Below are 24,583 nucleotides of genomic sequence, written 5' to 3'. Positions count from 1 at the left end.
TCCATCCATCCAACATTTGTTTTTCAGCATTTACTATATGCCAGGCACATGTTGGCAGATAAAACAGACATGGCCCCTAGAATGTGGGTGTGTTTTGTGGGGGAGGGCAGATAATAAACTAGTTAACCAACAAATAAATAATACAAATTGTGAATTGTAGAATGAAGAAACACACAGGTGCACTGAGAGAAAAGAAGTGAGAGGTGGAAACCTAGGGCTTCCTAGGATTGTTGGAAGACCTCTCAAAGGAGGTTTTTTTTTCTTCCTGAGACGGAGTCTCGCCCTGTCACCCAGGCTGGAGTGCAGTGGCACAATCTTGGCTCACTGCGACCTCCACCTCCCGGGTTCAACCGATTCTCCTGCCTCAGCCTCCCAAATAATTGGGATTACAGGCGCACGCCACCACAGCCAACTAATTTTGTATTTTTAGGGGTTTCACCATGTTGGCCAGACTGGTCTCGAACTCCTGACCTCAAGTGATTCACCCGCCTTGGCCTCCCAAAGTGCTGGGATTACAGGCGTAAGCCACTGTGTCTGGCCAAAGGAGGTAACTTTTAAGCTGAGACTTTAAAAATGAGATGGACTCAGTCATGAGAAAAACAGGGTGGAAGAGTGTTCCTGGCTGAGGCAACAGCATATGCAAAGGCTCTAAGGTAGGAGGAACTTGTATTTTTGAAGAACTGAAAAGGACCTGGTGTGGCCGGAGTGTAGAGGTCCGGGAGGAAGATTGCACAAGGTGAGGTGGAACAATCAGGCAAGGGCTAGATCTCCTAGGGCTTTGTAGGCAATGAGAGAGTTTGGGATTTATTCAGCCCACCTCTAGTTGCTGCTGAATGCACAGAGTATTTAACCTGAGATGCCTGTAGATTTGGTTATGGTTAGACAAGTTGCTTTTCCTGCTTAGCGTACCTTGGAATATTGGATGAATAAAATGAAATGATGTGCTACATGTTTATTAAATGCTGCTTATACACTTACCTACCCAGCCCTCAGCATTTGACCTCCCGCCTGAATGTTTGCATTATCACTTTGAACTTCTGTGTCAGCTGTTTAGAATTTACCATATGCTAAGTTATGATGATGTATCATTCATAATCTGTTTCTACCCAATTAGCTTATTAGCCCTTTGAGAAGAGAGACTTATATATCTTCAGAGCCAGCACACAAATGCTTACATATAGTAGGCACATTGATTTTTTTGTTTGATTGCTTTTTGTTTTTGAAAATCAAAGGTTTCCTTTATTTAAAAATTTGTCTACTGGTTTTAAAACATTATTGTAAGTAATAAATTTATCTACTCATATATATTTGAAATTTTTAATCATAGCAAATGGAAAACCAAGTAGATTGTTTGTGAAACAAGCAAATAAATGAATAACATGGTGTATAGTACAAAGTAAAAGTCCTCTGCTCTATCATAGAGACTGCATAATTTTTGTTTTAATTGGTACTGCTAAAACTGCCTTTCTAGGTGGCTGTGCAGGCTTACACTTTCACTGGCAATATCTGTTTCCTGATTCCTCATCAGTGTTTGAGACTGTCAGGCTTTTTAACTTTTCCAAACCTGATTATTGAAAATTGTGTCTAGTCTTGCATTTCCCTGATTCCTGGTAAGATTGATCATTATTTCATGTTTATCAACCATTTGCATTTCTCTTCTGTAATCATATCTTTTGTCATTTTTTCCTGTGGAATTGTCTTACTGATCGCAGGAACAGTTTATATAGTCTAGATGCAAATCTTCTGGTACATATATTGCATTTTCTCCCAATCTCTTTTATTTTTTACCTTTGTTTTAGCTTGCCTTTTGAACTCAACAATAATGCATAGTAGTCCTTCTTCTATTTCAGTCCAGCCACTTATTTTTTAAATTTTTTTATTTTTCAGAAATGCGGTTTTGCTGTGTTTGCCCAGGTTGCCCTTGAACTCCTGGGCCCAAGCAATTCTTTCATGTACCCAGGATTACAGGAACATACCACAACACCTGCCTAGTCTGTGTTTTATTTTGTTTTGCTTTGTTTTTGAGACAGAGTCTTGCCTCATCACCCAGGCTGGAGTGCAGTGGCGCAATCTTGGTTTACTACAAGCTCCATCTCCAAGTTCAATTCTCCTGCCTCAGCCACCTGAGTAGCTGAGATTAAAGGCACCCGCCACCATGCCCAGCTAATTTTTGTATTTTTAGTAGAGACAGGGTTTCACCATGTTGGCCAGGCTGGTCTTGAGCTCCTGACCTCAAGTGAGCCACCGCGCCCGGCTGCTAGTTAGTGTTTTTGATGATAATATATCCCCAGTGCAGACCAAGATAGTTTTTTTATTATTATTCTTTTTTTTTCTCTTTTATTCACACCTAGTGATCAGGAAATTTTTTTTTCCAACTCCTGAGTGGAATCAGAATAAGATCATTTTCTGAAATTACCAGAAAATTTTTTTGAACATGATCTATCAGCCTACCAGGAAAATAGTCATCACCACTTACTATCTCAGTCCAATTGACCCTCTGTTTTCTATATTTTTAAGTTTTTTTTTTTTTGAGACAGAGTCTCCCTCTGTCACCTAGGCTGGAGTGCAGTGGCACAGTCTCAGCTCACTGCAACTTCTACCCCCCAGGTTCAAGCAATTCTCCTACCTCAGCGTCCCGAGTAGCTGGGATTACAGGCGCGCTGTTATTTTTGTACTTTTAGTAGAGACGGGGTTTCACCATCTTGGCCAGGCTGGTCTTGAACTCCTGACCTCGGTGGCCTCAGCCTCCCAAAGTGCTGGGATTACAGGCATGAGCCACCGCGTCCAACCTATTTTTAAGTTATTTTATAGGCTGGGTACGGTGGCTCATGCCTGTAATCCTGACACTTTGGGAGGCTGAGGCAGGTGGATTGCTCGAGCCCAGGAGTTCAAGGCCAGCCTGGACAACATAATGAAACCCCATCTCTACAAAAGATAAAAAATTAGCCAGGCACACCTGTAGCCCAGCTACTCAGGAAGCTGAGGTGGGAGGATTGCTTGAGCTCAGGAGGTGAAGGCTGCAGTGAACTATGATCATGCCACTGCACTCTAGCATGGGCAACAGAGCGAGACCCTGTCTCAAAATAAATAAATAAAAATAAGTATAATTTATCTTTGTTCTTTGGAAGACTCTAAAAAGAATAAAATTATGAACTACCAATCCTCCCAAATAGTAAGGAATTGCTACAAAAAGAAAGTAAAAACCTGGGACAGGCGAGGTCGCTTGCGCCTGTAATCCCAACAGTTTGGGAGACCGAGGCAGGAGGATTGCTTGAGCCCAGGAGTTCAAGGCCAGCCTGGGCAAAATAGTGAGACCCTGTCTCTTGGGGGAAAAAAAAAAAAGAAAGTTGAAAACTAAAATTGGGTCCACTGGACCCTGAGGTTATACTAAGGACTGAGTTGACCAGAAATATACAATGACTATATTAATGAAGCTTTTATTGTAGAGTCAACTAGAATGGAAATTACACTTGTTAGTTTTATACTTTCTTTACTAAAGCTTATAGGAGTTTGCTCTATTTTGCATCTTTCTGTTCTACCCTTTACCCTTCACCTTATTTGTGCAGTGTAGATGAAAAGAGTAACTTTTTTTTTTTTGGGACAATGTCTCACTCTGTCACCCAGGCTGGAGTGTAGTGGCATGATCACAGCTCACTGCAGCCTCAACCTCCTGGGCTTATGGTCTCATGCCATACTACCAGCTCAGACTTCAGAATAGCTGGGACTGCGGGTGTGTGCCACCCTGCCAGGCTAATTTTTAAACATTTTTTGTAAACACAGGTCTCAATTTGTTGCCCAGGCTGGGCTCAAACTCCTGGGCTCAAGCAATCCTCCCACCTCAGCCTCTCAAAATATTGGGATTACAGGCCTGAGCCACCGTGCCTGGCCATTAACTTCTCCTTGACTGGGGTAGGTGCTTCCTCTTCCTGTTCATTTTATTTATAGGAGCCCTGCTTTGTCTCATGTCTCTTCTCCAAACCTCCTTTCTCTATCAAAGCCCTTGATAGAGTTCACTGTTGAAGTGAAGTGAATCTTACAGAGCACAGGGCACTGCCAGCGTCCTAGTTGGGAAGAATCTCTAAGAGGTGTGCATGCCAAGCACAGTGTCATTGTGTGCAGGCATTGTAGGAGTCTGCCAAACCCAAGGTTAGGCTGCCAGTACAAATGCCACGTTGACATGACATTTACAAGTTTAGAATTTGGAAAAGGACTGCCAGTGGAGCACCTTCAGCTACCTCATTCAGGATGGCAGTAACTAGGCCAACTTTTGATTTTCAGACTCAGAAATCAGAGTCAGGAAGTAATACTCCATACAGAATTTAAAACTATCACTACAACTTTTTCTAGGAAATGATAAATCCTGTTAGTCTATTCCTGGGATGCATGATAAACCATAATGGTTAAGAGTACAGACTCTGGAATCAAACCTGGATTTGAATGAGGCCTCTGTCACTTACTGTGTAACCCTGAGCAAGTTGAAGCCTTAATTTCCCTTTTATAAAATAGGGATAATAATGCCACTTCCTCACAGGATTATCAAATGGATTAAATCATATATTTATTTTTATTTTTTATTTTTTTAATTTATTTTTTGCCAGGTGCGGTGGCTCACGCCTGTAATCCCAACACTTTGGGAGGCTGAGGCAGGCGGATCACGAGGTCAGGAGATCAAGACCACCCTGGCTAACACGGTGAAACCCCGTCTCTACTAAAAAATACAAAAAAATTAGCCGGTCGTGGTGGTGGGTGCCTGTAATCCCAGCTACTCAGGAGGCTGAGGCAGGAGAATGGCGTGAACCCGGGAGGCAGAGCTTGCAGTGAGCTGAGATCGCACCACGGCACTCCAGCCTGGGTGACAGAGCAAGACTCCGTCTCAAAAAAAGAAATAAAATAATTTTTAAAAAATTTATTTTTATTGAGATAGGGTCTCGCTCTGTCACCCATGCTGGAGTGCAGAGGCATGATCTTGGTTCACTGCAACTTCCACCTCCCGGGTTCAAGCAATTCTCCTGTCTCAGCCTCCCAAGTAGCTGGGATTACAGGCATGCACCACCATGCCTGGCTAATTTTTTTGTATTTTTAATAGAGACAGAGTTTCACCATGTTGGTCTGGCTGGTCTCGAACTCCTGACCTCAAATGATCTGCCTGCCTCGGCCTCCAAAAGTGCTGGAATTACAGGCGTGAGCCAGTGCACCCGGCCGATAATATATTTAAAAGTATAAGCACTTTTCACATTCTTCAGAAATTCATGAGAAATTTAGGTTTTCAGTTCTTATATTTCAGTAATAAGTAGATATATTATAATTTACTAGGGACATGTTGTCACAACATGAACTTGTGTGTAGACTCTTTCCTTGACTTAGACAATACTGGAACACTATGCACAGGTACCCAGGATGTAGTTTTCTTGCCCTTTCCAGGAAAACTTAGAGCTGGAGTCCAGGTCATTTGAGTACTTGGCATCTCTACAGTTTCTTAGATGCAGAAACCATTTTGGTGTTAAGAATTCATTTCAGCAATAGAAGTCCTTTGATTGACCTGGAATTTTTCTATGGCACATTCTAATGCAAAATGAAGACCTAGAGCTATTCTGAAGGATATACTGTGGCTTATTAGGGACAATAATAAATTTTCGTTTAGGTGACAAGGTACTCGGCCTTGATTAAGTCTTTTATCGTGATCTAGTACCGAAATAATAGGCTTTTCTGTGCCACTTGAATAAAATATAATCCTTACTACAGATTAGTTTATTTATTTTAATCACATTTAGTACCATTAGTAAATTCTCCCAAGTGATAAAATTCTTTTTTTTATCCCTTGTTTTTCAGATCTTCAAAGCTGCTGCGGGCATTCTATGTCCCCTTCCTGTCAGATCAGTATACAGTGTACGTAAACTACACCATCCTCAAACCCCGGAAAGCAAAGCAAATCAGGAAGAAAAGTGGAGGTTAGCAACACACCTGTGGCCCCAAAGGACAACCATCTTGTTAACTATTGATTCCAGTGACCTGACTCCCTGCAAGTCATCGCCTGTAACATTTGTAATAAAGGTCTTCTGACATGAATACTGGAATCTGGGTGCTCTGGGCTAGTCAAAGTCTATTTCAAAGTCTAATCAAAGTCACATTTGCTCCCTGTGTGTGTCTCTGTTCTGCATGTAAACTTTTTGCAGCTAGGCAGAGAAAGGCCCTAAAGCACAGATAGATATATTGCTCCACATCTCATTGTTTTTCCTCTGTTCAATTATTTACTAGACCGGAGAAGAGCAGAACCAACTTACAGGAAGAATTGAAAATCCTGGTACTGGATGGCTGTGATAAGCTGTTCTCCACACTCTGGCCTGGCATCTGAGAACTAGCAAGCCTCTCTTAGGCCATATGGGCTTCTCCACCAAAGCTGTTTGGCAGCTCCTAGCAGACCTTCTTATTGAAATCCTCATGCTGAAAATGAACACAGCCTAGTTGCCAACCCACATGTCCTTTTCACCTCCAGCAAGACTAAGCTTCTTTAAAGCACTTCACAGGACTAGGACCCTGTCCTGGAGCTATCTCAGGAAAAAGGTGACCATTTGAGGAACTGTGACCTAATTTTATTATAATGATGCCTCTAATTTTCATTTCCTTTACAACCAACTGTAACTATAAGGTTGTATTGCTTTTTTGTTCAGTTTTAGCATGCTATTTTTTGAATTCTAGACTCCTCCATGTGAAGATATCAACAGACAAAACTACAACTGTATAGGACATATTTGGAGAAAATTCTATCAATTGATACATTTGGATGACATCACATTTTTAAGTAATGTAATCTGAGGCCATTGCTGAGGAAATTAAGAATTTTCCTTTTTTTTTAACCACCCCCAGTGAAAAGGATCAGTGTATATTTATAGCACCTATTTTTTAGTTCTGTCTGTTGTGAGGCACATCCTGCATGGGGCACTTCTAGTCAAATAGGCAATGATAAGGACCTAATTAAAATGTGATAAGTGTATACTATTACTTTAAAAGCCTTTACAGTCAGTACTTCAGTTTACAAGGCACTTTCACAGCATCTCGTTTGATCCTCACAGTCACAACATGTGGTAGACAAGGCAGGTGATTTTTATCCCCATTTTACAGATAAGGAAACAGGCTGCGGGTGGGGAGTGAGGGGAGGTAAAGATAGTTAGTTGCCTAAGGTCACACAGCCAGTAAGTAATAGAGCTGGGACTGGAACCCAGGTTTCCTTACTCTCATCTATTGCTCCTCCATATTCCTCACTCAACCATGAAAACATTACTTGAAAGGACTGATGAGGTTAACCAGAGACCTAACTGATATTGTAACTTTCTATTTTAAGGAAGAATTGTGTCTGTATTTGAGTTCTTTGGAGCCTCCAGTCTGCCTGTGTGTTAGACCAGCACAGCAGTGCTGTGTGATGCAGCCTGACCTGTGGCAGGAAAGTAGTGCTTCTGTTTGGAAGTCATGTTCTTTTGCAGCCACACAGGATCCAAATATCAGTACTATTCCTGTAGTCAATCTGGGGTCACATTATAGGTGCCTTATTTCCCTAAGGGTAACTGATCTGAATATCTGCAAATAGGATGAATCTATTTTTCAGAAGTTCCATCTTTCATTTTTCTTTTTTTTTTTGAGACAGAGTCTCATTCTGTCGCCCATGCTGGAGTGCAGTGGCGCGATCTCGGCTCGCTGCAACCTCTGCCTCCCAGGTTGAAGCAATTCTCATGCCTCAGCCACCCGAGTAGCTGGGATTACAGGCATGCGCCATCATGCCCAGCTAATTTATGTATTTTTAGTAGAGTTGGAGTTTCACCATGTTGGCCAGGCTGGTCTTGGACTCCTGACCTCAGGTCATCCACCCGCCTCAGCCTCCCAAAGTGCTGGTATTACAGGCGTGAGCCACCGCACCCAGCCCCATCTTTCATTTTCAAAGAGAAGGGCATTCTAATAGGAACTGGTGCCAAGAGAGAAGAAAAGAAGTGATAACAGAAGAAATGGCTAGTTACAATATTAAAAAGCTCCTCTTTGAGATCTCCTCTGCAGGAATATCAGAGACGGAGTTGAAGCGCTGGAGAGGTAATAGGTCTAGACAGTACAGAACAATAACTGGGGAGTGTGTGAGGATAGACTGGGCTCCCCCTTGCTTGAAAGATCTCTGGCATTTAATTCTCAATTCTTGATTACTATTTTCCAGTGTAAAACTAGCACATATGATCTGACTACAGGACAGAGAATTTTAAGTGAAACATTTGCCTTACTTGCAGTAATAATGTGCTGTTCTTCACAGTAGCTAAGGCCCTCTATGTTTCCCAGAGGTAAATAAGAATCCAGGAATGGAGGTCCATCTGTGATGAATGGCTTTTTTCTAATCAAAGTAGTATAATGCTGTTTTATCTGTTTTGTCATCTTGTTTTTTTTTTTTTTTAAAAAAACAAAACCTTAATTATAATATAGCGCAAAGAAAGGCCAGGACTGATGCAGGGATTCCTTGGAAATATCAGTTCCTATCACTTTTAAAACCTGATTTTGGATCTCTCTGTTCTATGTATGTCTTTAGTGAGAGCACAATACATGGCAGAACGCTGTGCCAAATGTTATAGGTAAGGAATATAGAAATGAATGTTTTTTGTTGTGAAGGTGTTTTCATGTGATATTTTATAAACACATTTTAAAAAATCTCCATCACTTTTTAGTATAGGAAGGATAGCTTTGCCTGGGAAAAACAGTTTCAACACACCTGCTCAGAGTAGCAGTTCTCCCTCAAAAAAGCAGTGTTCAGCCTGCACTGACTGTTCTGCTTGCCAAAAGGAGGAAGCATGCAAGATACTTATTTCTCCATAGATTGTGGAGTATAGAGGGATGTGGGACTACAGATTATTATTTTTTTTCCCCGAGACAGAGTCTTGCTCTGTCGCCCAGGTTGGAACACAATGGCACGACCTCAGCTCACTGCAACCTCTGTCTCCCGGGTTCAAGCAATTCTCCTGCTTCAGCCTCCTGAGTAGCTGGGATTACAGGCACACACCACCACCGCACTCAGCTAATTTTTGTATTTTTAGTAGAGGTGGGGTTTTACCATGTTGGCCAGGCTGGTCTTAAACTCCTGACCTTGTAATCATCCCGCCTCGGCCTCCTAAAGTGCTAGGATTACAGGCATGAGCCACCGCACCCGGCCCAGATAATTTTTAATAGCCTTTGATCATGGGGTGAGTGAGGGAGTAGGTATACTTGGCAAATGCATGGTTCTCTGATTTCTAGCTCTAAAGCAGCCTTATCTGAATCCCCAAATCTTGTGATGCTGAGTACCATTACTGAACCAGTCTGCACGGTAGGCATCTGCTACCAAAATTTACCTCCTACCTGGTAGGTGTCATCTGATAAGAAAGAAGACAGGTTATTTTAATTTTTTGAGATAATCACAGAAAATTGCAGCCCATACTCTTTATTACCGAATTCAAGTTTGGAAATAGACCCTTTGTTTTAAATCATGATGGGTCTTTATCCCAATCATTTATCTGGGTCATTTTTCCAACTTTGGAGTTCTAGGAAAGAACCTTGAAAACCTGATATGATTCTGCAGCATGAGGTCTACGGTGACCATTTGGGCAAAGCTCCAGTGGCAATCATTTATTGTGTTTTGCATTTCCTGGGATTTATTGAAATAAGAATTCACTGTGATTATGTAGTCTTCTGGCTAGTATCAGGCAGCTCTGCTTTTAATTTGGTTAATTTTATTTTCTCTGAAGAGGGAGAAGAGGTACAATTTAATCTTGGCCTCCACAAGCATATTAAAGCTCACGTGTTAATCAGTGCATTCTTATGCTCCTACATTAAATGCCTTGGGTAAATGGATAAATGGACATGTGCCCAGCTTTAATTTTTTTTGCAACAGAAAGATCAGACTTCCGTATGGCATCGTTGGATTTCAGAGGCTTTCTGGTGTATCTGTAAATCTGAATGTTGCCTTCTGCCAGTCTGTATAACCAGGTGATTCATGCTGCAAATGAAATCAGGAAGCAGTAAAGTGTTAAAGCAAGAGTATTGTCCAATTCACTTGTCTTCCTGATCCTTGTACTTTATTTCACGTGTCGGTGTTTACATTACATACTTATATTTCCTGTGAAAGAAAGAGTTAAATAAATTGTAGCAGTTTGATTTTCTTTTTCTTAATGTGACATTTTCTCTTTTGCTTTTAAATCTTTCTTGGAAATTGGAAACTGAAGGAGCTCAAGTCCTTTCTCCCTGACTCCAGCCCTATTCCTCAGTGTGGAGACCTGCCTTCTACAGGCCAAATATCCCAGAATGTTTATTCTGAAAACTTTAGAAGAAGACTTTGGGAAACCCAGTGAGGATTAGTTTTATTTTAACTATGTTAAAACCACGCACAGTAGGAATTAATATATGGGCCAGGCGTAGTGGCTCACGCCTGTTATCACAGCACTGTGGGATGCCGAGACGGGTGGATCATTTGAGGTCAGGAGTTCGAGACCAGCCTGACCAACATGGTGAAACCACGTCTCTACTAAAAATACAAAATAGCTGGGCGTAGTGGCGCATGCCTGTAATCCCAGCTACTTGGGAGGCTGAGGCAGGAGAATCACTTGAACCTGGGAGGTGGAGGTTGCAGTGAGCCAAGATTGCACCATTCCACTCCAGCCTGGGCAACAAGAGTGAGACTCCATCTAAAAAAAAAATAATAAAAAATGAATAAAAATTAAAAGGAATTACTCAATACATGAACATTGTACCTAAAAGAGATGAAGTCCTGGATCCATCTTAAGTTTTTGGAATGAGAATCACTGGACTGTGAGAGTCTAATTTTCTTAGAAATCCTAATCCAGTTATATCTAACACTTAGGTAATTTCCCCCTTTGTTGGGGTTGTCAGAAGGAATAAATTTTTTTTAATTTTTATATTTTAGAAATGGCATGTGTTACATTGTTCAGGCTGGCCTTAAACAACAAACAGTCCTCCTGCCTCAACCTCTTAAGTAGCTAGGACTACAGGCATGCACCACTGCACCCAGCTGGAATAAATTTTTTTTTGTAAATGAATTCCTAATGTCCTTGTTATGCCATGGACTTTATACCCTATAACTTCTAGCAGCCATCTGGTGTTGTGCCGTTGGTTATTATTATTCTTCCTATAGGACCCCAGATGCCCTTAACTTGGTTTGATTTATTTCTCCCAAATTGTTTGAAGAAAGGATGCTTTTATTAGTGTAATTCCAGGAAGGAGAAGTCCACAACTTTAATTTATTTTCCCTTGTCTAGAATGTCATCTTTCTCCCTATTTGTTACTGTTACTTTTAGGGCTGAGTCTCCTTTTTCTAAGAAGGCTTTCTAGACTTCAGACTCTTTGATTACATTCTTTTCTGAGCCTTCTTGATTACCCAGTGTCCTTAATAATGGCATAGAACCGTAACATATAAACCATGCGACCCTGTCTCGCAAGGCCATTGTTGGCATATGAGGGGCAAAGACCACATCACACTGCTATGTATTCCCGGTGCTCAGCGTGGTTCCCTGAACATTTTGGTACTGTATATTTTTATTGACAATGAAGAAAGAAAAGCAAAAAGAGACCTGGGACTAATGTACAAACTGTTGCTCTCAACTTGGCATGGATTAGACCATAGAAAATATGGCAAGTTGGCCGGACATGGTGGCTCATGCTTGTAATTCCAACACTTTGGGAGGCTGAGGCGGGCAGATCACTTGAGGTCAAGAGTTCGAGACCAGCCTGGCCTACACGGTGAAACCCCCATCTCTACAAAAATACAAAAATTAGCTGGGCATGATGGTGGGTGCCTGTAATCCCAGCTACTTGGGAGGCTGAGACATGAGAATCGCTTGAACCCAGGAGGTGGAGGTTGCAGTGAGCCAAGATCACGCCACTGCACTCTAACCTGGGTGACGGAGCAAGACTCTGTCTCAAAAAAAACAAAAAACAAAACAAAAAAAAAAACGGCAAATTATAAATCCTGCCTGTAGTACTCAAAAAGGGCAATTTGGAAGATATGAATGTTTATATTTCGCCAATTCTCCTGAAATACAAGTGCTTCTTTACAAAAGCATTTTAGAAGGGTAGCTTCTAAAAAGAGAGAAAGGGTACCTTTATTGAATATTCCTATTGTGACTTGCTTTTAGAGGGTCGGACCTAGCCCAGGAGGCCTTCTGAACAAGTTTGGGTCAGAAAGCCTCTCCTCCAGGTGTGAGGAGGTGATCGGGCCCTACCAGCTACATGTCCTGCTAGGAAAAGGAAGTCTGGCTGCAAGATGACCGTAGCCATACATCAGATTGAATAATATTAAGTAGCAAGGGATATTTTAAAACTGAAAGCTGTTTTGGCTCTCTTCAGCTGTGGATTCAGCATAGACCTGACATTTAAACAAATGATAACCAACACGTGAGAAATATAATGTAGGAAATTTAGATTAGGGATGTGAGATTATGGAATTGTAGTGACAAGGAAAGACTGGGAATTTCCAGTTGTAGGTTGGTAGAATAAATAGTCTGTTAAAATTAACAATTGGGTTTAAATAACATTTTACCTGAGTATGAGCTTTTTTTTCCCTTTTTTTCAGTGAATTCTCATAAAATACTTTAGGTGGTAGGGCTTTTTGTTTGTTTTTGGTTTTGCCTCTGGTTTCTGGGCTTGTTCTGTCATTACATGCCTAGAGATGAAAGTATGTAAGTTGGCTGGATGAGGGGGCTCACACCTGTAATCCCAACACTTTGGGAGGCTGAGGTGGGAGGATCGTTTGAGTCCAGGAGTTTGAAATCAGCCTGGGCAATAAAGCTTGACCCCACCCCGCCTCTATATGTAAAAATATACATATATAATTAAAAGAAAGAAAAGTATATAAATGAGGCAACTTCTTGGTGGTCCCAACAGCCAAAAGATTGGGTGATTTGTGACAAACTTCCTCTGACAAGGGTTTTTTGCAGACCTTCAGCCATGGATTTCAGGCATACTCGCCTTACAAGAGCTCTCTTGACCTTCACTCTCGCACAAACTGTATTTGACAAGTGGTGCCCTTGGCCTTTGACTGATCATCTTAACTCGGGAATTGCAAGTTGCCAAATGAGAAGGGCGTGCGTTTTTGGTTGATTGGTTAGCTGCTTCAACAGCCTGGTACCCACTGCTGAAGAAGCTGTGACCTGTAAAGCAGCAGTTCTCCAATGGAGCTACACGAGACAGAATCTGGGGATCATTAAAAAATTTGCCACTATTGGCCGGCCGCGGTGGCTCACACCTGTAATCCCAACACTTTGGGAGGCTGTGGTGGGCGGATCACCTGAGGTCGGGAGTTCGAGACCAGCCTGACCAACATGGAGAAACCCTGTCTCTACTAAAAATACAAAATTAGTCGGGCGTGGTGGCGCATGCCTGTAATCCCAGCTACTCAGTAGGCTGAGGCAGGAGAATCGCTTGAATCTGGGAGGCGGAGGTTGCGGCGAACCAAGGTAGCATCCTTGCACTCCAGCCTGGGCAACAAGAGCGAAACTCTGTCTCAAAAAAAAAAAAAAAGAAAAGAAAAGAAAATTGCCACTATCTGGTTGACCACCCAGGAATTCTGAGTTTGTGGTCGAGGGTGGGCCCAGGCATCCATTATGTTTTTTTTTAAACTCTCCAGGTGATCTAGCTAACAGGTAGCTAGAGTTGAACACCACTGCTCTGGATAAAGACTGAGAGACTAACAATCACACCAAAAAATCAAAGGTAATTAAACAGGCAACATATTTGGTGTCCTTTTCTAATTGTGACTCCTGGTTACCCAGGCCTTCATCTAGGCCTCTTCCCCACCACAGACCTATTTCTCTGTCTACTCCAGCCCATCAAACCTTACCTGCCCTCTCTCCCATTCCCTCTGGGCCCTGCTTTCTGGGAAACAATTAACTAATATGATACTGAAGTACGCTAATGGATGTTAATAATTAACTGTAGTTCTCTTCCCATTGATCCTCTCATCTCAGTACACTGAATGACAACTCATCTGGAAAAAAAGAATGAATGACTATAATTTTGGCAATTGCAGACCTATTCAGTGTCATTTGATTGAATGATTGATCAGGTGGTAGAAGAGGCTTGAGCAGGCCGACTTGCCCTTCAGGAATACTGCCTGGCCTTCAGATTCAACCTTATTGCTTGACACTACTTGGCCTGCTCAGGTAAGGACCTATGGCTGCCTTGAGTAGAACAATGGGTGTAAAAAAAAAAGAAGGTGTGAATATTAAGCCCTTCTACTCAACGCACTGGGGAAGCCTGCTTTGTTTGGCTTTAAAATATAAGTAGCTCTGTTTATTTGACAGAAGCACAGTAAAGACCCTATTTTACCTTTGTTAGTCTGCTTCTGGTCTTTGCAGAGAGAGCTTCTCTTGAGCTGCTGCCACTGCCCTCAGACACGAGAGCAAAGGTTAATCTCATTTGGGGAGAAATGACGTGAAATGTGTTCACTCAACCAACAACAAGATACCATGTACCATTCAGGAGTTGGTCTCACCTCTTTCTTGTCTCCCTGTTACTGTGTCTCTAAGCCTCCCTGGTATTTCCTATAATGTGCTCCCATTTTTTCCTTGCCAGTGAAATATTTGTGGAGGTATGTAGAAAAGAAGGCTGTTTTTTCAGTGCTACATGTATGAAAGAATGTTATGGATTCTTTAAAACTCACCCCTTTCCTTGCATTTTTTTTTTATATTTGTGTTCTCATAGTCTGTGATTACTGGGAATATTCTAGAAAACAGCACCAAAGTGTAAATTTATTGCCAAAGTTTTCTTGTTTTGTTTTTGTTTTACTCCCAAGTATCACTGTCTCTGACAGCTTAAGGCAACCTTGTCTGCCATGCTGTCATAAGTCTTCCCTAATGTCCAGCAGAGGGCATCCTATTCTCACTAAAATCTCAGCCCTCCTTTCCCTCCAGCAATTTAGTTCATGTCAGTTTTTGATGTAATTCCAGTGTAAGTTGAAATATCTTCATTGCATTTCTTTAGAATCTGTATTTCTGCATTGCACTCTTGTATTGCTATAATTGCAAAAATTTCCTGGAGAAAATTATGTCCGTAACTAACCAAGGGGTGAATTGTCCATCACAGCAGTGACTCCCTACTGGTCGAGGATTCTTAAGTCAATTCTCAGCTAATTTCAGTTCTGTTTGGCATGACTATGATGGTGTTCATAGGTAACATAAAATGTGTTTAGTTGGGAGGAGGAAGCAGCTACTCTTAGTGGCAATTACCAGCCATCTGCCCATTTTCAGGGTTCCAAATATGAGCAAACCACATCACATACAAAGTCCTAACTTTACCTCTGGTAATTTATTGATAGTGCCAAAAGCAACTCAAAAGATTTTTCAAAGTCCAAGGTTCTGTCCTTCAGATGCTAATTCATTATCCATGGCACAGTAACTCAAGGGAAAGTAGAAGCATTTAGCAGGGCCTGAGCCCAGTAAAGTGAAAGGCCTTAGAATACCTTTACTCCCCATGCCTAGGCCATGGGTTGAAAAGCACACATTTACAGAAGGAAGTAGAATTTGCATTTTGAAAGTGTAGGGTAACCACCTAGACCAGATTTGGGCCTTGAGGAACGAACAAGGTCAGCTCTGCCAGATATAGAAGGGGATTCTATTCTTCATGATTGTTAACTCCTGATACCCTCCTTTGAGCTCAATCTTAGAAATATGTGGGACTGTACTGGTTTTAGGTTTAGGAGGGTATTTTGTTTGTTGGTTTGGTTTTTGTTTTGTTTTGTTTTTGTTTTTTGAGATAGAGTCTCGCTCTGTTGCCCAGGTTGGAGTGCGGTAGCATGATCTGGTCTCACTGCAAGCTCCACCTCCTGGGTTCAAGCGATTCTCCTGCCTCAGCCTCCTGAGTAGCTGGGATTACAGGTACGCCACCACGCCTGGCTAACTTTTGTATTTTTAGTGGAGATGGTGTTTCACCATGTTGGCCAGGCTGGTCTCAAACTCCTGACCTCTGGTGATCTGCCCGCCTCAGCCTCCCAAAGTGCTGGGATTATAGGCGTGAACCACTATGTCCAGCCTTGGTTTTTGTTTTTTTAATACACCCTCTAGATTGTCAGATTTGCTCTGTGGAGGAATCATGAATAATAGCTAACATATTAAACTTTACTATATGTCAAGATTTTTATTTTTATTTATTTTTTGTTATTTATTTATTTATTTTGCAGTGAGCCTCAAACTTCTGGGCCAAGTGATCCTCCCACCTAGGCTCCTGGATGGCTGGGAAATGCAGGTGTCTGCACCACGCCCCACTTACGTCAGGAATGCTTTAAGTTGCTTTTTTCTCACATAGTCGTCACAACAACCTTATGAAGTCAATAACTATTATTAACCTCCTTTTATAGATGGGGAAACTGATGCTTGGAGATATTATTAAGTGTCTTGCCCAAGATCACCTAGGTAGAAAATGGTAGACCTGCAATTCAAACCCAAGCAGTCTGACGCCTGAGCCGCTCTTTTAACCGTGACTTATAGTCCCTATTTCATAACCTCTTTGAAGTCTACAGTCTTTTTTGGATGATATGTTGGGGGAACCTAGACGGAGTCAGTAGGCAGAGATGAGAACAGGATGTAGTCAAAGTTGTTTCACTTTATGAAAAATAAGTTATTTATTTATTTAGAGATGGGGTCTCACTATGTTGCCCAGGCTGGCCTCAAACTCCCGGGCTTAAGTGATCCTCCCGCCTCAGCCTCCTGAGTAGCTGGGACTACAGGCACTTGTTTCAGTTTTTTATCACCTTCTTAGTCCACTTCCAGTAACCACAGCCTGGAGAGTGTCCTAGTAGAACAGTATGCAGCTGGTACATGAAGTGTTTGTAGGGGCTTTTCTAGAACACTGGGGGCCTCCAGCTAATTTTAACCACATAGCTAAATCAGAGAGGGAGTTGATTTCCTGAAATCCTAGAAGTTAGTGGAAATTCCAGTTTCTGATTACAGTCCCAGCTGGATTTCTGCCGAAATGTGACTTTCGTGTCCAGGGGATCTTGGCACTGGTCCCTTCTTACTCCTGTGACTTTTCTCCTACCAGTTCTGCTGAGTAGATCAGAAAAGGAAGTGGGGAAGAATACCATCTTCAGGGGAGACCAAGGGCAAAAGCTTTCAGGGGAACAGGAATATTTTAAGTTGGCCCTGCTGTTGCTAAATCAAACCTCTGTCTAGTTGGATCCTGGGGGCAGTGTGCCTAGCTGCTGAAATCTACTATTTATGTTGGCCAGGTCTAGTACAAGACATGATGATAAGTGGCCGGGCGTGGTGGCTCATGCCTGTAATCCCAGCACTTTGAGAGGCTGAGTGGAGAGGACTGCCTGAGCCCAGGAGTTCAAGACCAACCTGGGCAACATGGTGAGACCCTGTCTCTTTATTTTTTTTCTTTTAAAAAACGACATGGTGATAAGAGGCCTACAAAAATGAGAGACAATAAAGAAATCTGGACTCTACCCTGTGGATATAGCAGAGATACACAGGGAATAGCTGGGCAGGAGTTACTTATCATACACATCTATGGATGCCACAGGAAAGACAGCCAGGGCCAGGCAGAGAGCACAGTCTGTAGTATGGTAAACCAAGAACTAAAAGGTTTGCTTGTTTCAATAGGTAATAATCTTCATGGTTCAAAATTCAAAAAGCCTAAATGCATTGTGGTATTCTGGAGTGAGTCCTGCAATAGAAAAAGGATATTAGTGGAAAAATGGGTGAAATTTAAGTAAAATCTGGAGTTTAGACAAAGTACAAATGGATATGCTGCACACTGAAAAAATTCCCTTCCATCTCTGTTCCCCAGGCACCCTGTTACCTTGCCATAAACAACCAAACGTTATTCATCACATGTGTCCTTCTAGAGTTTTTTGGTACATATACAAGCACGTGTGTGCATTCTATTTTACACAAATGGTAAGATACTATGTACACTATTCTGGCCCTTGCCTTTTTGTTTGTTTTGTTTTGTTTTTTGGAGACGGAGTTTCACTCTTGTTGCCCAGGCTGGAGTGCAATGGTGCAATCTCGGCTCACCGCAATCTGTGCCTCCTGGGTTCAAGCAATTCTCCTGCCTCAGCCTCCCAAGTAGCTGGGATTACAGGCATGCGCCACCACGCCTGGCTAATTTCATATTTTTAGTAGAGATGGGGTTTCTTCATGTTGGTCAGGCTGGTCTCAAACTCCCGACCTTAGGTGATCTGCCTGCCTCGGCCTCCTAGAGTGCTGGAATGAGCCATGGCGCCCGGCCTCCGTGCTGCTTTTTTTTTTTTTTTTTTTTTTTTAATAAGATATGGCTTGGTATGGTGGCTCATGCCTGTAATCCCAGCACTTTGGGAGGCCGAGATGGGCTGATTGCTTGACAAGCCCAGGAGTTTAAGACCAGCCTGGGCAATGTGGCCAAACCCTGTCTCTACAAAAAAAATACAAAAATTAGCCAGGCATGGTGACATACACTTGTCATCCCAACTACTTGGGAGGCTAAGGTGGGAGGATCACCTGAGCCCAGGAGATCGAGGCTGCAGCGAGCCGTGATCATGCTACTGCACTCCAGACTGGGTAACAGAATGAGACCCTGTCTCAAAAAAAAAAAAAAGCAAAAACAAAAGATGATTTTCGTATTAGCCATTTAGGAGCTATGCTTTTTCACTTAACACCATAACAAAACATTTTTTTCCGAGTGGTATATAGGCCCCTGGCAAGATAATGGGGGTTCTGGCCTGAGAACACTGGAGCCCTTTAATAGGACTCAAAGGCCTAAGGCTTTTGAGAAAGGTCACTGTGCCTGTTTATCTTCAGGTTTTCCGTAGCTTAAATCTACCCTTGTGACGCCCATAATCCCAGCACTTTGGGAGGCGAAGGCAGGCGAATCACCTGAGTTCAGGAGTTTGAGAGCAGCCTGGCGAACATGGTGAAACCCCGTCTCTACTAAAAATACAAAAATTAGCCAGGCATGGTGGCACATGCCTGTAGTCCCAGCTACTTGGGAGGCTGAGGCAGAAGAATCACTTGGACCCGGGAGGTGGAAGTTGCAGTGAGCTGAGATTGCCCCATTGTACTACAGCCTGGGCAACAAAGCAAGACTCAGTCTCAGGAAACAAAAAAAAAATCTACCATTGTGGCTAAAGGAGATACTAATCCTGACTGCTGTTCTTAGAGAACTGGGGCCTGTACACCTTGAACATAGTCTCCAGATGTACTCTCTTGTGTTTGGCATGGGCATCAGATTCAGTGAGCCCTTTGTAATAAATAATACAACTTCTGTATTTTTTTTTTTTTAAGTAGAGAGGGAGTTTCACTATGTTAGCCAGGATGGTCTCGATCTCCTGACCTCGTGATCCGCCTGCCTCGGCCTCCCAGAGTGCTGAGATTACAGGCGTGAGCCACCGCACCCGGCCTAAATAACACAACTTCTAACATCTGCATGGTGCTTTCCACTAACAAAGCACCTTTCATCATGACTCTCACTCCTCACAAGTCTGAGAGGTAAAAGCTCTATTTTACCGATGAAAAAAATCTTCTGGAACAGGTATTCTGACTCTGTAAGTCATGTACCTCTTTCATTCTTTCATGTGGGTCCTTTCTGTTGCCAAAGTTCAATTGATTGCAATATTTTCCTATTTGCTCCCACTTCCTCAGTAGATAAAAACTGTTAATGGATAGTATTTGAGTGCTTTCTCTTGCCAGGCACTACCTATGCACTTTATATGAATTATTTAATCTTTTTAACAACCACATGAGGTAAGCTCAACAGCCCCACCGTATAAATGTAGAAACCAAGATTCAGAGAGGATAGGTTATTTGCCCAAAGTCACACAGCTAGTAATTGGTAGAGGTGGGATTTCAATCTACATCTTCCTGACTCCAGAGTATACTCTCCTAACCATTGTATGTACTATTGTGAAAGGTAACTGAGTGTCCTCTTTCTTTTTCTTTTTTCTTGCTATATTGCCCAGGCTGGAGTGCAGTGGTGCAATCATGGCTAACTGCAGCCTCTGCCTCCCAGGCTCAAGCGATTCTCCCACCTCACCCTCCCAAATAACTGGTACTACAGTCAGGCACCTCTGTGCCCGGCTAATTTTTGTATTTTTTGTAGAGATGAGGTTTTACCATGTTGCCTAGGCTGGTCTCAAACTCCTGAGCTCCAGAGATCTGCCCACCTGGACTTCCCAAAGTGCTGGGATTACAGGCATGAGCCACCTCACCACCTTGCCCGGCTGTCCTATTTCTTTGATTTGCTCTTCCCAAGAATTCAAGCAAAGTTTGCCTTGGAAATCCAATACCTTTGTTATATGTGGTGATGAGCTGTAGAACAGAGGTAGGAGATGGAGGAGGGAGTAGCAATAATCCCTGATTATGAGTTCTGCACCTGCTTCTGATTTATTGGGACATCAGGTAAAGTCCCTTTCTCTTTGTTGGGGTATTCCCACCCATAAAAATGAGATTAAAAATTTGCCATGAAGAAAACACAGAAGAAAAAGAAGGCTAAAATATTGAGCTGAAATTGAAGGGAAAATATTTGAGTTCCACAGAATGGTGACATACTTTGCATAAATACAAATTTAAAATATCATTAATGCTATGGTGATAATCACTACTTTGCGATGAATTAAGTACAGCCCTCGGAATCAGTTTACCAGGGTCATCTTGCCAAATGAAGACAGTTGGAAAATGCTTCCGTGTGCCTCAGGTTTCCCGCCCCTGTCATCCACCACTCCCTTGATGTCCCTTTCAGGGGGACAACAGTCTGAATCTGCCCTGAGACACTTACAGGTCTCCTACACTTGGCCTTCTCACACAGTGGGGTGACTGTGGAGCAGATCAGCATTTGAATGAGAACCTATTTGTAAAGCTCTTTGGCTGTAAGGGAGACGCAAGTTTAGTAAACTTGAGGCAAGGGGCCAGAGAAGATGACAGTGATGTCACTTCGATCCTCATGACTGATGCTTTTCTTTTTCCCAGTGGCGCTATCTCGGCTCACCACAACATCTGCCTCCTGGGTTCAAGCGATTCTCCTGCCTCAGCCTCCTGAGTATCTGGGATTACAGGCATGCACCACCACACCTGGCTAATTTTTGCATTTTTAGTAGAGACAGGGTTTCACTATGTTGGCCAGGCTGGCCTCAAACTCCTGACCTCAGGTGATCCACCCTCCTCGGCCTCCCACAGTGCTGGGATTACAGGCATGAGCCACCACGCCCGGCCAATGACTGATGGTTTTCTGATGTGACTTTGAGAGCTGTTAATGTGAGCAAGAGTTGATGGCCGTCGATCCCATCTGCCTGTACTTCCTATATTCTTGATGCTTTGTCTTATAGGAACCGGGCAAATCTAACTCAGTCTTCCTTTGATCCACACTGGATGAGTGAACTGCATGTGGGTGTCAGAACTCAGTGCTTTTGTACTGAGGCTGTCACCTTGTTACCTGAGGGCTGCCTTAAATCCTCAACCTAATCTCAGCTGTTGCCTCTGGCATTCCCTGGTTATTAGTTTCTTGTGGGGTGTGTGTGGGAAGTGGAGAGGAGACCTGAGGGAGGAATAGAGACAGGATATGGAAATACCTCAGTGCCACAGTACTGTATTGGTAGTGCTTGGCTAAATTCCAGAAGTCCAGCAAAAGAGGGACAATCCTTTTTATTTTATTTATTTATTTTTTAGAGACAGGGTCTGGCTCTATTCCCAGGCTGGAATGTAGTGATGTGATCATAGCTCACTGTAGCCTCGAACACCTGGGCTCAAGTGATCATCTCACCTCAGCCTCCTAAGCAGCTGGGCCTACAGGTGTGCCAGCGGACTCTGCTATTTTCTTTCTTTTTCTTTTTTTTTTCTGGTAGAGACAGGGTCTTGCTTTGTTGCTCAGGCTGTGGGACCATCTTTTGAATCTGGCAAAACCCACAGCCTATAGATTCAGAATTGCTTATTGATAAGTCATTTGATTTCTTCTGGACACGGGTGGCCTCCAAAGACTTTCAGACTCTACCTGAGCAGATGCTTGTTTATTGACATGGAAATTACTTTTCCAGATGAACTTTTAAAATCAATGGTTTTCAAGTATCAATGCACACTAGAATCACCCAGTGGACACTGTAAACCATCTGGCCCCATTCTTAAGGACTCTAATTCAGTAGGTCTGGGTTGGAGGCCAGAAATCTGCATTTTTAACAGGCATCTTAAGTGATTCAGACGGTCAGCCTCAGAATTTGGCTCAGGTTTTGAACTAGCCTTTTTTTCTGCTGCAGTCTGTTTTAATCACCTTCATTGAAGGATTTATTAGCATCTCCATGTTTATTACCTGTTTCATTCTCATAGCATCACAGCAACTCAAGCAGGAACAAGAGGTGGTTAGCTCCATTTTATGGGGTGTTAGGGGGTGGAAGGTGGGATTGAGGCACTGGGAGAGGTAGGTCATGATGAGTCAGAGACAGAGATGGGAACTGAAGTCCAAAATTGATGACTCTCAAACCAGGCAATTTTCTGGGGCCTATTTTCTCAGCTTGTGATTTTATATTTAATCATAGTTATTCCTTGAATCGCCAGTTCATTGTACTTGGGTAAGCAAAGCATATTTGTATTTTAAACAAAGTAGTTTAGCATCAAGGTGCCAGTTTTTGTTAGCATATTAAGGCTCTCTTAAGCTTGAGTTAATATCGAAAACAGTACTGTGGAACTGACTTAATCTGCTTCTCTCTGTGCATGCTTCCTTTATTATTTCTGAAGACTTTAATTTTTTTTTTTTTTGAGACAGGGTCTCACTCTGTCACCTAGGCTGGAGTGCAGTGGCAGTCACAGCTCACTGCAGCCTCAACCTCCCAGGCTCAAGTGATCCTCCCACCTCAGCCTCCTGAGTAGCTGAAACTAGGCGTGCACTACAGGCCCAGCTAATTTTTGTGTTTTATTTGTAGGAATGGGGATCTCACTATGTTGCTAGGACTGGTCTTGAACTCCTGGACTTAAGCAATCCTCCTATCTCGGCCTCCCAAAGTGCTGGGATTACAGGTGTGAGCCACTGCACCTGTCCAAGACTCTTTTTTTTTTTTTTTTTTTGAGACAGGGTCTTGCTTTCTCACCCAGGGTGGAGCGCAGTGGTGTGACCTCAGCTCACTGCAGCCTCAACCTCATGTGCTCAAGTGATCCTCCCACCTCAGCCTCCTGAGTAGCTGGGACTATAGGTGCACACCACCACGTCCTGCTAAGTTTTTTTTTTTTTTTTTTTAGAGATGGGGTTTTGCTATGCTGCCCATGGCTGGTCTTGAACCCGTGAGCTCAAGTGATCCATCATGTGCACCACTGCCCCAGGTGACTTTTTACATAAAGTATAAGAAAACAGATTCCTCCTCTCAATGCCTACAGGAATCCCCTCTGATCTTCTAACTGGTAAAGTACTAAGTTAAAAAAACCTCTTAGCCCTCTGTCTCTCCAAGTTGGGTAGTATTAAATATATGAATCCATTTTTAGCCTGGGCAGCATGGTGAGACTCTGTCTCCATACACACACACACACACACACACACACGCACACACACACACGAAGCTGGATGTGGTGGCACATGCCTATAGTCCTAGCTACTCAGGAGGCTGAGGCTGGAGGATTGCTTGAGTCCAGGAGTTTAAGGTTACAGTGAGCTATGATTGTGCCACTGCACTCCAGCCTGGGAAACGCAGCAAGACCCTGTTTGTTAAACACACACACACACACACACAACACAATAATTTTTTAAAATCCTGAAAACTCTCAGTTAAGTCATTATTATTATTATTTTAGAGATGGGGGTCTTGCTGTGTTGTCTAGGATGGTCATGAACCCCTAGGCTCAAGTGATCCTCCCACCTCAGCCTCCCAAGTAACTGGGAAGACAGGCACGCGTTACCATGTTTAGCTAAATTGTTTTTATTATGCTGTGGTTATTTAAATTTACGAATATAAAGTAGGAAAAATGTGCTTTTATTTCTAGTTCTTACACAGCTAAAAAAAAACCACAACAAATTTACAAATTAAATACAAATGAAACCACAAAATGAATACTATTCAATTAAAAATATTATAGTAATTTAACGTGACAAATGATGTATTTTGCTAAAACTGTCATCCGTCGTATTGTTACTATGGTGTTGCCTGCTATAGCTCAGCTTCTTTTGTGTTCAACATGCCTATGCCACCAAGTGACTCCTGATATCTTAATTTTCTCACCATTTTTCTGTTACAACTACCAAATAGTGCAATCTCATGATGCATTTGGCTTTCATTTTGTGCATGAAAGTATCATTGTCATTTTAAAACCACCTCTGTTCTTTTCTCATTATCCCAGAACAATAAAAGCAGCACTAAAACACACATGTAAATGTGGGTGCTGAAATTGTGTGGCAATACTTGGTTGTAAGGTGGTCACCCAAATAATTCAGAATATGCTTATACAAATCTAAAAAATATGAAAATGAAAATAAAATTAAAACCCTAGAGAATACATTCGCAGACATAATTTGAGAAAAACTGTTCAGGTCTGCTGGTTCCCAAACTTTCATTACTATCAAAGGCTCTAGCTATTGTGCTTACTTCCAAGAACCCCATTTATTTATTTATTTATTTATTTAT

At 42.4% G+C, this 24,583-nt stretch overlaps 1 protein-coding gene across 30 annotated transcripts in view, besides 1 other annotated feature; it reads left to right on the top strand.

Annotated features, from left to right (window-relative positions):
• ALG9 (ALG9 alpha-1,2-mannosyltransferase) overlaps nucleotides 1-24,325 on the top strand; it is a 103,557-nt gene extending 79,232 nt beyond the window's left edge. For 18 of the 30 annotated variants that reach the window (NR_147984.2, NM_001352409.1, NM_001352418.1 and 15 more), the window contains one exon: nucleotides 5,830-10,155. Coding sequence is in view for 23 of the 30 variants with exons in the window: in NM_001352409.1 (NP_001339338.1) it covers nucleotides 5,830-5,953 (124 nt within the window). In the remaining 7 variants the exon portion in view is untranslated. Of the gene's footprint in view, nucleotides 1-3,780; nucleotides 3,910-5,829; nucleotides 10,156-13,639; nucleotides 13,899-13,979; nucleotides 14,175-16,189; nucleotides 16,255-17,236; nucleotides 17,364-20,957; nucleotides 22,992-23,210 lie in introns of those variants that run through there. The other 12 variants (NM_001352417.1, NM_001441203.1, NM_001352416.1 and 9 more) reach the window with 7 other exon arrangements.
• Nucleotides 14,805-14,964: a silencer, noted in NCBI's record as "silent region_3900". NCBI's record gives its function as "represses an Ori minimal core promoter by ATAC-STARR-seq in GM12878 lymphoblastoid cells {active_cell/tissue: GM12878}" and the evidence as "EXISTENCE:reporter gene assay evidence [ECO:0000049][PMID:35858748]".

The sequence above is a fragment of the Homo sapiens genome, chromosome 11 (genome assembly GCF_000001405.40).
Source record: "Homo sapiens chromosome 11, GRCh38.p14 Primary Assembly".
Taxonomy (NCBI): Eukaryota; Metazoa; Chordata; class Mammalia; order Primates; family Hominidae; genus Homo; species Homo sapiens.
Note: the sequence above shows the minus strand (reverse complement) of the source record. Positions and strands in the feature narration are given on the sequence as shown.